The sequence below is a fragment of the Homo sapiens genome, chromosome 6, assembly GCF_000001405.40.
Source record: "Homo sapiens chromosome 6, GRCh38.p14 Primary Assembly".
In the NCBI taxonomy this organism is placed as follows: domain Eukaryota; kingdom Metazoa; phylum Chordata; class Mammalia; order Primates; family Hominidae; genus Homo; species Homo sapiens.
In genome coordinates, this window is record NC_000006.12 from 155,791,677 (window position 1) to 155,808,698 (window position 17,022).

A 17,022-nucleotide genomic window follows, 5' to 3' on the forward strand; every position below is an offset into this window, starting at 1 on the left:
AATCTTCAGAAACCATTCCTTATCTAGGAAGAAATAACATCAGCCACTCACTGGCTTCTCTGTGTAAAAGATGACTTTATGCACTATGATTTTTTTTTTAAAAGGATAATTTAGGATCCACTGCCCCTTTCGTAGCTATGCAAGTTATAAATTACAGTGTTAGAAAATGCAGCCGTTTTCATTCCCAGTGGGTCTTGTTCTTTGTGTGTATATTTATCGAATTGTCTGATTCACTTAAGTTTGTAACTACAGGGTCTTGCTCTGGGTTTTAAAAATGAATAGCTCTAAAAAGATAAAGCAACAATCAACTCTTTAAAACCCAGATTTGCCCTGCTTGGAGTAATATAAGGATAGCCGCATGATTATGCAAAACAGCACTGACCTAGAGACAAAAGACCTCGGTGACTCCCTATAGCAACGGGAATTGTGATTTTTCTCTTTGCTTTGAGTGGTGCCCAGTCAGTCAGGGAATACCTGTTCCAGGTGCTCTTGATCTCCTGGGCCTTGTGCAAAAGTGAGATGACAGGGGTCTATTTTGGATGATAAGTAGATAAGGGTTATAAATTCACCTTGAGAAACAATAAAAATAGCTCATCTGAATCTTTATTTATTTATCTCTTACAATTAGAGAAAGTTAACCTACTTTATATGATGCAATCTTCTTTCCTGTTCAGGCATTAGGATGACTGATAAACCTCAAAAAATCACCAATCTTCTTCTATTATTATTAAATCTGCCTCCGTCTGTGCTAAAAATCATTACAGCAGTCTTCTGAGGGAAGAGGCCATACAAGCTTTGCAACTAAGGCCCAACTTGATATTTACAATAAAGCCCCCTGCACCATCCAAATTCCTGAACAGCTGCCACATCATCCTACTTTTCATTTGTGAATTACAAGCTAATAACATAAATTCAATCTAACATTTACAGACTGCATATAAAGGATGCCTACAAAACTGGGCTGCAATAAAACAAGAATCTTAGTAAACGCCATGAATTTGGTCATCACTGGGCCTCTCAAAATAGCCAGCTAGTTGGGTTATTTGCTGGCTTGCGGCTGCACGTGTTTATTGAGCATCTGTTATGTGCCAAGCACTTGCCAGAGCCAGAGTCTTGGAATTGTCTTAGAACAGACATGGTCTCTCGCCTCTTACAGGTGATTTATGGGTGATGAGAGAGAAGCCTGCAGGCAGTTGGGGTGCTGTCTGACATACGCTTTGAAAAAGTAAGATCAAGATATTCTAGAAGCACAAGGAAAGAGCACCACTCACTGTGTTGGTCAAGGAAGGCCTCTAGAGCCCAATGTGTCCTGGGAACTAGAATCAGTTCACCAGATTTCAGGTGCCTCAAACTCAACAGGAAGAATAATTATTCCCTGGGCTATGCCCCTAAAAACAAATCCTAGTGAAAAAACAAATAAGGTAAAGATGAGAGGGAGATCTCTCTGCCCTAATGTTCTAAGTTTTTATGAATCTATAATTATTTCAAAATAAAAAGTTAAAAAACACAAAGTAACACAAAAAGGTAATACTTAAGGAATATTCATGAAACAGCATATTGTCTAGGCCTGACTTCATGGCCCTGTGACCTGCACAGTCCCATAGGGCCTTGCTTAGGAGGCTTTGGCAGTTGGTTTAATGCTCCGCTGCCACCATCTTGAAATTCTTGAGACTCTTAACAAGGGACCCACATATGCGATTTGCACCAGACCTTGCAAATTATGTAGCTGGAACTGCTATTTTCGTAAGTTTCTTGTGTTTATTTATTTATTTTTTTTAAAGAAAGGGGTATTTAATTAAGAAAGTTTCTTAGCAGGAGGCTTGAGGTATGGGAGAAGGGATGAAGAAAGAACTCAGCAAAGGGTGAGACTAGGTACCTAAAGCACACTTATTTTTTTTTTTTAATCTACTTCAGTTGTGTCTAGGGCTAACTCTTTTAGTGCAGAAATATTTAAAAAGAGACTAGGAAAAACTGTATTATTTCTCATAATGATTACCTGTGGCTTGTTTTTGTAATACGTATTTTACCTTTATGGCTGCATAAAATGTTGTATGGTGATTGGATTATTAATAAGACGGAGATAACTATTCTATTGTCCTGATCAGGGTCACATGCCTCTTTCGCATATTTTGTGTGTTGTTTCTTCTTAGAGATGGAAGTGATTTTGTACAAAGAGGAGGTACATAAGGAATGGGGAATAATGATGGGAGAAGTGAGGGGACGAGGGAGAAGAAGAGGAAAAGACAGAGACGGGGAGGGAGACAGAGAGGGAGATGAGGTCATTAGGACAACTTCTCAGTGAGAGTGACATTCGAGCATAGAACTGAATAAGGAAGCAAATTCTAAGTCCCTGAGAATAGAGCAGCAGAGAATTCAGCCTGCTTAGACATGGGAACATGTGGATGGATGGTGGGGAACGAGATCAGAGAAGTGTCACAAGAGACCAGAGGGACTATGGCTTTGTTTAATTTGAGTGTTGAGACATGAGGTTGTAGGTATGTATTTCTGAGTTATCAGCTCTAGTAAGATACATGCCTTCTCCCTAGAACTAGCAGGTCTTAAACCCTGGAGCCAGTAAATGTTACTTTCTAGGAAAAATAGTGTTTCTGCAGATGTGAATAAATTAAGGATCTTGAGATGAAGAGATTATCTGGGATTATTTTGGGAGACACTAAAGTCCATCACCAGTGTCCTTATAAGAGGCAGAGGAAGGTTCTCACTCACGGAAGAGGAGAAGGCAACGTGACCCCAGAGGCAGAGCTTGCAGTGATGCAGCCAGAAGCCAAGGAATGCTGATGACCCCAGAAGCTGAATGAAAAAGCAACAGCTTCTTCCCTAGTGCTTCCTTAGAGAGGGCAGCCCTACTGACACCTCGATTTCAGCCCAATGATACTGACTTTGGACTTCTGGGCTCCATAACTGTAAGGGGATACGTTTCTGTTGGTTTAAGCCACCAAGTTTGTGGCAATCTGTGACAGCAGCATACAAAACCAATGCATTAGTCCGTGGATGATATTTAAGGACATGTACTAGATAAGGTCACCAAGGGATTAAAGGAAGGTGGAGGAGGGAAGGTGTCAGAAGGAGAGCTCTGGGTCTCCGACACTTAGGAATGGGAAAGGAAGAACCGAGCTGTCCACGAATGACTTCTGCATGGGCAGCACTGTATGTGTAGAGCGGGAAAATGGTCAAATAGAACAAATTTGCCAAAACAGAGGTGGCCACTAAATCCTAACTTTTCTAGGAGTTTGCAGAGTTCTTAGGAAATACACAGACCTTTCTCATAACTTATGAAAGGTAACATGTAATCAATCTCTTCTATATGCGCTGTAATCAATATCATGTATATCTTAAAGGGCAGGTCATTCTAGCTAACATCTAGGTGACACAAATGTGGTCATTATTGTGTTTGTGTTTGTAACATATGTGTGTGTATGTGTAATATAGTAAATAGAAAAATCATTCATATCAAATTTTTTAAAAAGACAGTGTAGGTAAAATGATTGATTGAATTTTGATTCTATGTCAAGAATTAATCAGAGCCTATAGAATATGTTTTAAAATACTGGGTTTCAGTCACAGCTTAAAATGGGAATTAGTATGATGTCATGGATTTGATAGCCTGTGCCTGTCATAGTCTGATTTATGGTTGAGCAGGCAGTAATCTCTGACAAATTTAATCTTCACCGCAAAAATGTGAGTCTTTTGCCTGAATCAACGGGGACTTCCTTAAACGTGAAAGATGCATTATGTCATTTTCATTAATTTGGGTTAATATTTTCTTTGTGCAAAGCAAAATTAAACGATGAAATATGCAGTCCTTATATGAAAGAATGTGCTCAGGAGCAAAAATACCATTAATAAAAATGGAATGAGTAGAAAGCTCTTGAAGAAAAGTTAGATTACTTCAACTGAAGCGGGGGGAATAGGGTGACTGGGGTATTGGGTGTGTCCACATGAGCAAAACCGAATTTCTTCTTTAAGGTAATCCGTAACTTACGAAGTAGGAAAGCCACACAGATTCATGGTAACAAAATAATAGAATCAAAACAGAGGCCCCAGGGGGGAATAGCCTGCTGGATCTGTGTAACAATTTCAAGTTATTATTATTATTTTGCTTATTTTTTCCATCCCCACTTCTCTTCTTCTATTTCTTTCTCCAAGAAGATCTTGTTAGCACAGACAAATGAGGCAAGTCAATAACATCCACCCAAATAGACAGGATATATTGAGCCAGTTCAAATGTGGGTGAACAGCAGCTGTGGTCTTGCCTGTGAAATTAGCTCAGAGGTGGCTTCTGCACAGTGAAGCATCAGAACTCTTTCATTTCTACCTTCCTATAAACACTGAAAAAATATGGATTTAGATAAAAACCTATTTGCTGAGATTGTAGCATCTAAGGCTATGTATGGCATGTATGCAAGAAAAAGGAAGACAAAAAGAGAGAAAGCCGATATTTTTCAGTCACTAAAAAAATTGTAAAGCAGACAGCCATGAAGCTGACTGACCTTTTATTGCTTCTGAATTGAGGACGGCTTCCTCTCTTTAAAGCTTCAGTTATATTGCAGGGTTGCTTGGTATTTTTTAATGATTTTGGAAGAAACTAGGGTGACTTAGGCAATGAACCCAATCAGGCTGTTGGATGTGTAGAACTGTGTACCATAAGCCATAAGCCTTTACAGTTTTGTCAATCTGACATCAGAAATTACTCAGTTACAATGTTTTTAGCTTAATTTTCTAAATGCAATTAGAGTGCAAAGCTTACAGGAAATACTGGATCTAACGGGAAGAAAAATAAATAAAACAGGTATACATAAATGATAGATTGATTCACCTGAAATTATTTCTTTAAAATTTGGAGAAGGCCGGGCGCGGTGGCTCACGCCTGTAATCCCAGCACTTTGGGAGGCCGAGGCGGGCGGATCACGAGGTCAGGAGATCGAGACCATCCCGGCTAAAACGGTGAAACCCCGTCTCTACTAAAAATACAAAAAATTAGCCGGGCGTAGTGGCAGGCGCCTGTAGTCCCAGCTACTTGGGAGGCTGAGGCAGGAGAATGGCGTGATCCCGGGAGGCGGAGCTTGCAGTGAGCCGAGATCCCGCCACTGCACTCCAGCCTGGGCGACAGAGCGAGACTCCGTCTCAAAAAAAAAAAAAAAAAAAAAAAATTTGGAGAAAAACTTCAGAGTTTTATTAGATGTGCAGCCATTTATAATTCTATTGGTGGTCTTCACATTTCACGAAAGATTTCGTTGTCTAAAAATTATGTTGTCTTATTGGTTGTGGAAAATTATTTTATGACATGGAAGTGTTCATAATAAGGTTGGAGTGGGAAAAGAGATTATAAAAACAGTAGGTATTATGTAATATCATGCAAATCCAGTTTTACCTATATACACTTCTGTATATATATATATGTAGAAGAGACAGAAATAAAAATGTTAACAGTAGTTACCTATGAATGTTGGAATTACAAATGATTTCCTCTTTTCTGTTTGTTTTTCCAAATGTTTTACTATGTATATTTTATTTTACAGTATGAAATCTAAAATACATACACACAAATTCATTTTAAAAGAAGATAATAACTTCAAGTTCTGGCTGTATTTAAATACTGGAATAGGACTTACCTACATTTAAAAAATTCTACAAAACTGAACAAGATGTATGAAACAATCATTTTCAGGCAGTCTGGTTGTGATCTTTGAAAATATGAAAATGCAAAAGGTGTGCTCAACACCGACTACAGATTTTCTTCTGGGGGCTCTTTTCAAACCCAGCACAGGAAATTGAACCCAAATCGAGAACAATGGTCTCTCTGGACAGAGGCAGTAGAGAGTGGTATTGAGGCAGATGAGGTGGCTATTGAAGGCAAGTTCCCAGAGAGAAGGATGTTGTGTAGAAAGGAACCCAAGAAAATGTAATGAAATTTTTTGAGTCTTTGGCCAGATACTAAGTTGAGCATGTTGTGGGAAGCTGATGTCTAGTAGGGAACAAGTATTAGGGGCTATGACCTGAAAAAAACCCATAAAGAGTTTGGATAATGCTGACAGAGAAATGCTTCCGAAAGGGTAGCCAGAGTGGAGAATGAGATCAACAAAAAGTTATAACTTAAGAGTAGGATTATGTTAGCCCTACATACAGTATACTAAAGGCTCCAAGTAAAATTCAACAGCATAAAGCATGCCATAAAAAGACTACATTCTTTAAGAAAAACAATATAATGCAGAACTTTAAATATATAGCACCAACAATATTCCACATATTCCACATTCTTAAAATTTCTAGTTGTTTATAAAGAAGCAGAATTAAAGAAGTAAAGGAAAATAGGAAGTAAACAAATAGGAAGGAAATCCCAAGCAAGAAATAAAAATCATGACAATGTAAATTTTAGCATTTCAAAATACAAAATATGAAATAAAAATTGTACTGGGTGGATTTAACACCAGATCGAATACCAGTGAAGAAAGATTAATGAACTTGAAAACAGGCGTATCAGTCAGTCTAGTGAAAAGGCAGAAATCAATAGAAGACTATAAAGTGTAAAATAATTCTAAAAGGTCACCTAGGACTGAGGGAAGGTAGAGAAAAAAGGACAAATTTGAAAGGCAGAGCCTTCCTGGAAGCTGAGGTTTAGACCTTGTTGGAAAAGGTAGAGGTGCAGCCCACTGGCTAGCAGATCAGTTTTCTGGGTTTCCTAGGCCAAAGCTGGTCCACAGTCACCAAGCAACCGGGAAGCAGCCATCTGGGATGCAGGTAACCCACAGCTGGTGAGAAGGTGCTTACAGTAAATCTGGCGTCTTCATCTGGAGGGCTATGGGAAATACACCTCTAGAGGATAAGTGAGCTGTAGCAGTGAGCTAGTGCACAGAGGAAGTTGGGATGCTGCTGCAGGTGGATGGCCTTGAGTATGCAGTATCTGCATTGAGCAGTTCACAGAAAATAAACTTCTGAAGTTGGGGAAGGATACAGGGGCAGGCATACAGAAGGAGTCAGGTTGCGATGCAGTTGAAAGTTTGGAGCATAGTGGAAAGGCTGTGGGAGGGTGATAACCATGCTGAGCTGGGATTGCAAAATTACTGACAGATTGCGTATTTTGAGTACATGGCTAGGGCAGAGCACAATATTTGCACCACTGACCAATTGTGCAGCAATCAGACCAACAAGAGAAGGCCCTGATATGTTTTGGCTATGTCCCCACCCAAATCTGAACTTGAATTGTATCTCCCAGAATTCCCATGTGTTGTGGGAGGGACCCAAGGGGAGGTAATTGAATCATGGGGGCCAGTCTTTCCCGTGCTATTCTTGTGATAGTGAATAAGTCTTATGAAATCTAGTGAATAAGTCTTACGAAATCTGATGGGTTTATCAGGGGTTTCCCCTTTTGCTTCTTCCTCATATTTTCTTGGTGCCACCATGTAAGAAGAGCCTCTTGCCTCCCGCCATGATTCTGAGACCTGCCCAGCCATGTGGAACTATAAGTCCAGTTAAACCTCTTTTTCTTCCCAGCTAGGGTATGTCTTTATCAGCAGCATGAAAACAGACTAATACAGCCCCTTACTTCTGAATGCTCTTTAAGCACCATCTACTGAGAAGCTTAATATTATCCTAAGTGAGAAATGCTTACAAGACTTCCAACCATTTTTACAAAGTAGGTATTGAAAGGCAAATTTAAATCTGGGAACCAATACATTGATAACTGTAACAACAGGGCAATAGAAATTATACAAATTGAGGTTTTAGAAATTATAAATTATACAAATTTTACAAATCTGAAATTATACAAATTATTCAGAGAGAGAGAAAAAATGACTTTACATAATACACAGAAACTCAGTGGCCTGTAGTATATTATAAAGTGGACTAACTTGTATGAAACTAAAATTCTAAAAGACAAGAAAGTGCAATTGGAATGGAAAAAATATTTGAAGAAATAATGACAGAAGTGTCCAAATTTAAAGGAAACCTCAAAACCCCATAATCTAAGAAAGTCAATGAATCTTTAGCAGGAAATACACAAAGAAAATAGCACTGAAGCACATCATAATAAAATTTTTTAAACCAAAGATAAAGAGAAAAGCTTAAAGGCAGTCTGAGAAAAAGGCATAATGAGCATATAGGGGAACAGCAATCAGAAAAATGGCCAGTAGTATATGACACACAAGTGAGGCCTGAAGACAATGTGTAAGGGGTAGGAAAAAATAGTCATTGTGAATTCTACATGAAGCAATACTATTTTTCAAGAACTGAGAATGAAATAAAGATACTTTCAGAGAGAGAAAAGTTGAGTGAATGTCACAGGTAGATCTGCACTATGTAAAATGTAAAAAAATTTTTAGTCTGAAAGGAAATGATACTAATTAGAAACTGAGAACTATAAGATTAAATACAAAGCATCAAGAAATGGCAAATATTGGGGTAAACATAAAATAATCATTTTCATTTTGATCATATCTTTAAAAGATGATTGATTGTTAATATATAAACAATAACAATGAATTTAGGATTTTCCACAAATGTAGAAATAAAACATTAATATATATGACAATAAGAGCATACCAGAGAGCAGAGGGATCAATAAAATTACACAATTGCAAGGTTTTTACACAGGAATAAAGGAACTCTTTTACATAGTTTATGAAAGAATATGATATTATTTGAAAATAGATCATGATAAGTTAAAAAATATATTGTAATTTTAAAGGAACATTAAAATAAATTTGAAAAAAAGAAAAAATATATAACTAAAAAGTCAATAAGAGATTAAATGAAATAACAAAAATAAATGAATTATCCCAAAGAAGGTAGGAAAAGAGTAACAAAAGAACTAAAGACAGAGGGGTAAGTTGAAAACAGCAAGATAGAAGACTTAAACCTGTCAATAATTACATTATACGTAAATGTAATAAATAAACTGATATAAAGGCACAGATAGCGTGGATTAAAAAAATCAAAATCTAGCTGTATGCTATTTATAAGAGGAATGGTTTAATACTAAGACAGCTTAAAGTAAATGGATAGAGGCCGGGCGTGGTGGCTCACACCTGTAATCCCAGCACTTTGGGAGGCCAAGGTGGGTGGACCACAAGATCAAGAGATCGAGACCATCCTGGCTAAAATGGTGAAACCCCGTCTCTACTAAAAATACAAAAAATTGGCTGGGCGTGGTGGTGGGTGCCTGTAGTTCCAGCTACCCGGGAGGCTGAGGCCGAAGAATGGCATGAACCTGGGAGGCGGAGCTTGCAGTGAGCCGAGATCGCGCCACTGCACTTCCTGGGTGACAGAGAGAGACTCCGTCTCCAAAAACAAACAAACAAACAAAAACCAAAAAAAAAGTAAATGGATAGAAAAAGTACACCAATAATAACAATGTTAAAGTGCCTATATTAATATCAGATAAATTACACATCAAAAAATGTTATAGACAAACATAAATATTTCATAGGTGACAGAAATAGATATTTTATAATGTTCAGGAATTTAAAAAGTAGAGAGATATTCCATAAATGTCAGTGATAAGGAGGAATTTTTAAATAATAAATTTATCATAATGACGTCACAATCTTAAAACATGCACTTAACAGCAGAGATTCAAAAAGGAAGAAAAACTGAGATTAAAAAGGTAGGAATGAACAAATCTACAATTACAGTTGAAGTTAATACTCCTCTTCCAGGCAATGACAGAACAAATGGATAACATTTAGAAACAATGTAAAAGGCTTGAACAGCACTATAAACCAATGAACATAATTTGCATATTTTGAACACTGTACCCAAGAACTACAGAAGACACATTCTTCCCAAGTATAATGCGAATAGAACATTCACTAAATTAATACAAATAAACACCAAAGGATTTCAATACTCCTCAATACATTTTCTATTTTGACCAGAATTTAATTAGAAATCAATCACAAAAATATATCAGGGAAATCCTAGATATTTGTCGATTAAGAAACACATTTTAAATAACACATGGGACTAAGAATAAATCCCAATATAATTTAGAAAATATTTTATACTGAATTATAGTGAAATTTGTGGGATACAGTTAAAGCAATGATTAGTTGGGCCTTGATAGCTTCCTTTAAAGACTTACATTCTAAAAGAATAAAACCTTAAAGTTAACAATCTAAGTTATCAACATGATAAATTAGAAAAAGGAATGCAAATTAGAAACAAAGTAAGCAGAGGAATGGTGTAATTAAGATTTTGCTCCTAGCAAAAATCAATGAACTAGAAAATGGACAAATAATAGAGAAAAGCAACAAAAACAAAAGTAATTGCTTGGAAAATATTTTTTCAAATGATAAGCCCATAGCAAAACTGGTCAAGAAAAAAAGAAAGAAGGAGAGGAGAAAGGGAGGGGAGAGGCTGAAAGAAAGAGAGAGTGGGGAGAGAGAAAGGGAGAACCACAGATTACAATATCAGAATGAACAGGTATGTCTCTATGGAGCCCACAGAGATTAAAGAATATTTAGGCAAATGTGAACAACTTTATACCAATAAATTTACAACTTAGTACAAATTGGTAAATACCTTGAGAGTCACAAATTACCAAAACTGACACAAGAAGAAAGAGAAAGTTTGAACACACCTATATCTGTTAAAATGTTGAGTTCATAATTAAAAACTTTCCTACATAGAATATTCCAAGCCAAATATTTAAGGAAGAAATAATCACAATCGTGCACAAACTCAGTCAGAAAATAAAGGATGACATAAGCATAAACCTGATAATAAAACAGGATAAACATAGTACAAGACCAACATCCATCATAAAAATGAATATAAAAGTCCTTAACAATACATGAGTAAATCAAATATAGTTCTAATAAAAAGAATAATATATTATGATAAATTGGTATTTATCCAAGGACAGCAAGGTTAATTTAACATTCAAAAATCAATTAATATAATTTACTATATTATCAGAATTTTTAAAAAGTCATAATATCTCAGATGACAAAGAAGTATTTGATAATATTTAATACCCCTTCATGATTTAAATAATGCTCTCTATTTTCATTTCTTTTCTTTTGTTTTTTTGGATTTGAGAAAGTTTATCTGGAAATGAATTAAAATGTTACCCTACTGTTACATCTGTGAGGACTTACAAAATATGCACATTTCCATATTGAACAGAAAGAGGTTAGATGTATCTAAACGCAATGCATTAAGGGGCATTTGCTACATTCATATAGTTTCAGAACATTTGGAAATTGTGATTAAATTCTCAGTAATCTGATATTTTCTTGCCAAAAACACCCCTCGGCAAACCAGAATAGAAGGTGACTTCCTCGATTTAATTTTAAAAATGTGAAAAGCCTACAGCTGACGTTAACATAATGGTCAAACAATGAAAGCTTTCCCCAGGAGTAGGAGCAATGCAAGGATGAACATTTCCACCAATTATGATATATCCAACATTAAACTGGTGATTCTAGCCTGTGCAATGAAGCAGAAGCAAAATAAATAAAAGGCACATATATCAAAAAGCAAAAAGCAAAACTGTCTTTGTTCACAGACTGGTTTTGTGAGAAGAAAATCTGAATAAATATAGGAATTTAACAAGGTCACAGGATACAAAACCTAAAGGCAAATTTTAATGTATTTCTACAGAGCAGTTAATGAGCATTGCAAAATGAAATTTAAAATATCATTTACAATAGTGTAAAAAATATAAAATAATTAAAAATATATTCAATGTGTGTAGGCAATGCTGTTATACTAAATCTACAATTAATGCTCAAATTTTAAAAGATGTAAATTGATGAAGAGTTATTCCATGTTCATGGATTGGAGGACTCAATAAGATGTGAATTCTTTGCTAGTTGAAATATAATGCTAGTTATACTTTCACCAGGTAAGTTTTGGTAGGAATTGAAAAGTTGATTCTAAAATTTATATGCAGAAACAATCAAGAATAGTCAAAATTATGCTGAGAAAGAATAACAAAATTGTACAGTTTATACTATCCCATTTCAAGACTTACTGTACAGTTACTGTAATTTAGACAGTGTGATTTTGGTGAATTGATAACCAATTGATTATTGGATCAGAATAGGGTTCAGAAATAAACATAGAGGACCTGTTAATTTTTGCTCATATACAGGAGCCATTAATTTTTTACCAAGATGCAAAGGTAAATTAATGGAGAAAGGACAGTCTGTTCAACCAATGGTGCTGGACAAACAAGGAATCAGTGTGGAAATAAATGGACCTCAAATATTATCTCATTCCATACACAAAAATTAATTTTAGACAAAATCAGGAATGTAAACGCTTTTAAAGAACACGTTCGACTATTTGTTTTCAAACTTAAGTAGATGATAACTTCATAGAGAGAATAGAAAAAAGCAATAAACCTAAAAGAAAAACGTGATAAATTAGAGCTCATCACACTTAAAACTTTTGCTCATCACAAGAAACTGTTAAAGAAAATGAATAGGCAAGATTACAACTAAATATTTGACCTCAACTAAATTTGCAAAGCATCTAGTTTATATCCAGAAAATATAAAACTTCAGTATCTTCAATTTTTAATTTAATTTTAATTTTAACTTTAATTAAAAAGCCAAAAACATCATTAAAATGAGCAAAAGCTTTAAACAGTCACCTCAAAAAAAGATACCTCCAATGATCAATAAGTACATGAAAATGATCAAAATTACCCCTCAGAGAAATGCAAATTGAAACCACAAGATACCACTACAAACTCTTTAGAATTACTAGAATTAAAAACACTGGAAACATGAAATGTTGGCAGTGATGTGGAATTGGAACTCTCTTACATAGATGGTAGGAGAGTGCAAAGGTATAACCATTATGAAAAACATTTTGATAATTTCTTACAAAGAGAAAAATACACATATCTAGGACTCAGTATTCTACTGTGGCATTTTTCTCAGAAGAACATTTATAGATACTTTATTCACAGTAGTCAAAAAACCCAAAGTCTATCAATGGAAGGATGGATAAGTAATTTGCCGTATATTCACAGAATGGAATGCTAATTATTAATAAAAGGGACAAACCATTGATACAGACAATAACGTGAATGATTCTCAAAAATATGCTGAGCAAAAGAAATCAGACACAAAAGAGAATATTCTGTATCTTTCCATTTGTAGTCGTTCAAATTAGGCAAAATGAATCCTTAGTGAAAACAAATTAGAAAAGTGATTACTTCTGGGTGGAAAGAATTAACTGGGAAGCATGCGTTAATTTTATGAGATGGATATTTCCTGTATTGTTTATGAAGGTATGTCCACGTAGAAAAAGAAACTGAATTATATGTATGTAAAAGTTATGTTAAAAACTGTCAAACTGAAAAATTGAACTCTTGTTAGTAGATTTACTTTTTGTTGCATCATGGGTTAGCAATTCTGAAATTACTTTTTTTGCATTTTCTAGACTTGAACAAATGAGTACATATATTAAAACTGACACAAGAAATAAAATAAAAATAATGGCCGGGTGCAGTGGCTCACACCTGTAATCCCAGCACTTTGGGAGGCCAAGGCAGGTGGATCACGAGGTCAGGAGATTGAGACCATCCTGGCCAACATGGTGAAATCTTGTCTCTACTAAAATACAAAAAATTAGCTGGGCGTGGTGGTGCATGCCTGTAGTCCCTGCTACTCGGGAGGCTGAGGCAGGGGAATTGCTTGAACCTGGGAGGCAGAGGTTGCAGTGAGCCGAGATCGCACCATTGCACTCCAGCCTGGGGACAGAGCTAGAGACTCCATCTCAAAAAATAAATAAATAAATAAATAAATAAATAAAAATAATATCGAGAGGCAGGTTTCTCACTGGAGTGTAGAATTATGACATGAAAATATAGAATGTGTCCAGTAGTGCTGAACTGGAATTGGAGGTATCTGTATGAATTCACAGTTTTGTAGAGATAAATATAGGGGTGTGTGTGTGTATGTGTGTGTGTGTGTGTGTGTATAAATTTCATGAGTCACACATGGCAATGAGTACACCCAGTGCTGAGATCTTGGTTTTAAACTACCATTCTGTTCTAGAAGGTACCAGAGCTGCTTGAATGAAAGGATAATTCCAGGCATGGAGCAGGGAAAGCACATAATATTTTTGGAGCTTCTTTTGTGCCACAAAGTTAAGAAAGGCTTAAAGAATGATGAAGATCATATCAAAAGCACCTAGGAACCATCTAAAAGGGGCTCTCTTTTACCCTAGGACAAATTAAGAATCTAAGTAAATAATGATAGTAATGGATTATAATCCATTGACAAAAAAGTATAAAGCCATTCTGATATAAATAATAAATGAACAAATTGACAGGCAAACAAACAGGGCACAGGGACACCTCCTCACAGTAGAATGCTGACTTATGAATATCAAAGGGGTAATGGGTTCTGAGATTCATAAGTCATAGCTTTCCTTTGTGAAGTATCTAACCATATGTGGAAAGATATTTCACAAAGGAAAGTGATACACGGTTTGGCTGTTTCCCCACCCAAAATCTCATCTTGAATTATAATCCTCGTAATCCTCACATGTCAAGGACAGGACCAGGTGGAGGTAATTGGATCATGGGGCCAGTTTCCCCCATGCTGTTCTTGTGATAGTGAGTGAGTCTCATGAGATCTGATGGTTTTATAGGTGTGTGGCATTTCCCCTGCTTGCACTCACTTCATTTTGCTGCCCTGTGAAGAAGATGCCTGCTTCTCCTTTGATTGTAAGTTTCCTAAGGCCTCCTCAACAATGTGGAACTGAGTCAGTTAAACCTCTTTCTTTTATAAATTACACAGTCTTGGATATTTCTTCCTAGCAGTGTGGGAGTGGACTAATACAGAAAGCATACAATATCAAAGTGGTGATGGGATCAATTAATGCTAAAAGTATTAAGTGAGAAGTTTATGAAGTATGGGATATTTATGTAGTTTCAAAGTATCTCCCATAAATAGTTTACTACTTAACAAGGGAAAACAATACCTTTATAGAGGAGAAACTTGTCAGTTACCACTTGAACCAGCCAATAAAAGTTACTGTCAACAATGTGGGGACAAATTGACATCACATGGCTCCTGATATTATTGAATAAGAAGAACATAACATTTCAGTGGCAGTCCTGAGAAAAAGATATAATCATAATGTAATAGTGAGGAAATATCAAATAAACCTAGATGGAGACGTATTCTACACAATATCTGTATGATGTACTTCAAAAGATTAAGGTCATGACAGAGGCAGACGAGCTGTAGATGTAATGCATGCTCTTCAGTTAGATCCTGGACTGGGAAATGTGTATACATAATATCTATTGTATAAATATGTATGTATATGTATATTCATGTCTCTCTACAAAAGATACTATTGGGAAGATTGACAAATTTAAAAATGCACTGTGGATTAGCATTGTATCAGCATTAAGTTATATTTACTGATTTCGATAATTGTACTTTCCTTATTGAAGAGATCTCATTTTCCTTAGGAAGTAAAGTATAGGCGGGGGTGGTAAAAGGTCCTGACATTTTCTGTTTCAAAAGGAGAGAACCAGAACGTGAAGGAAGGGGAAGAAGAAGAGAGGAGGGAGCAAAGGAAGAGGAAAGTGGGTCAACAGGCACACAATTATTGAATCTGGGTAAAGGTCCTATGGAAATTCCATGTGCTATTCTTGCGACTTTTTTATAAGCTTGAAATTATAAAAATAAATTAAAAGTCGAGGGGAAAAATGGGGAAAAGACTTGGATAGATACTTCACAAAGCAAAGCATACAAGTTTATTGCGTAATAAGCAAATTAATTAGCATAGCCATCATATTGTACCCCATAAACTTGTACGATTATTATGTATCAATTCTGAAAAACAAACATAAGGAAAACATGAATGTGCAGGTTTCTTTCCTGGAGGATCATTGCGGTTTGAGGCAGTGCAGCGGGCAATAGGAGCCTAAGCCAAGGCAGCTTTGTGGTGGACTTCAGGGCCATCAGGAGCTGTGAACTACCTCAGAATTATGCTCAGTGTTCTTCAAAGAAGCTATACAAGTTGTGGCTACGTGGCCTGAAATCATGAGTTCCAGTCCTAGTATCTGTGCATTTTCTTGGTTAATGATGGCATGGGTAACAAATACTGGAAATTGTACTGAGCTCTTTCTTTTCTGGAACAGAAGTTTCATTCAGTTAAAATCAACTGTATGGAGAGAGTAAGGAGGAAAAAAGCTTGCCACACAAGTTTGACTAAATGGAAGGAAAATATACAGTTCTTTAAAGGTTTAGCCATGTTACAAGAGATCTGGTGTTTTAAAATCATCTTTAGAAGATGCCAGATGTTTAAAGAGTCAGCAGGCAGTGAGGCTGGAGGCCACCAATGAACAGCTCACCAGATCCAACTGTGCTCTTCACAGGGAGTAGATTCTAGAGAAAAAAAGAACTGAAAGGAGAAATCTAAATGTCAGAACTAGATGAACTGATTACCCACGTTATAAGAAGGATGAAGTCCCAAGAACAAAACTGAATATTCATTAAATTATGAGTGGCTTTTCCCAGTAGAGCATTGGTCAGAAAGGAATCCCCGTAAGATGCTTCTCCTAAGGGTTGGCCTTCATGTGAAAAAAGAAACTTTTACTCCTCTAAGCAGATTCCGTCACTTCTTCCTTCAAGTCAGTGTCTCCTGTTGCTGGAATCACGGGCACATAACCTGACATGACCACTTCCTTTTCCTCCTATTCCTACCGAAAATATATGGATTGATTTGAGGATACTTTCTGCCAAGGGATTATTTTGGATATCACAGCAGTCAATAGTAATTAATAGTAAAAACAACTCCTCTGCACCAAAGATGTTCCTGACTCCTCCATGTACCTGCTTTTCCCCTAGTCCTGACAAATCCCCACACTGTGAAAAAATAATAATGAGTGATTTGGGTTGATCCACCTTCAAACAAACGTGCTACTGAAGGCAGGTGTGGGGGCCAAAACTTGACCCCTTAAAGGTTCACTGAAAATCACTGACAAGAAGAAGATTGACTAATAGGAGAAAAGACATACAAATT

At 36.3% G+C, this 17,022-nt stretch overlaps 1 long non-coding RNA gene across 2 annotated transcripts in view; it reads left to right on the forward strand.

The window, feature by feature from the left end:
• Positions 1–1,664: 1,664 nt before the first annotated feature.
• Positions 1,665–17,022, forward strand: part of LOC105378072 (uncharacterized) — a 91,283-nt gene continuing 75,925 nt past the window's right edge. For both annotated transcript variants that reach the window (XR_001744424.2, XR_007059824.1), the window contains exon 1: positions 1,665–1,743. This is a non-coding gene — a long non-coding RNA (uncharacterized LOC105378072). The remainder of the gene's footprint in view (positions 1,744–17,022) is intronic.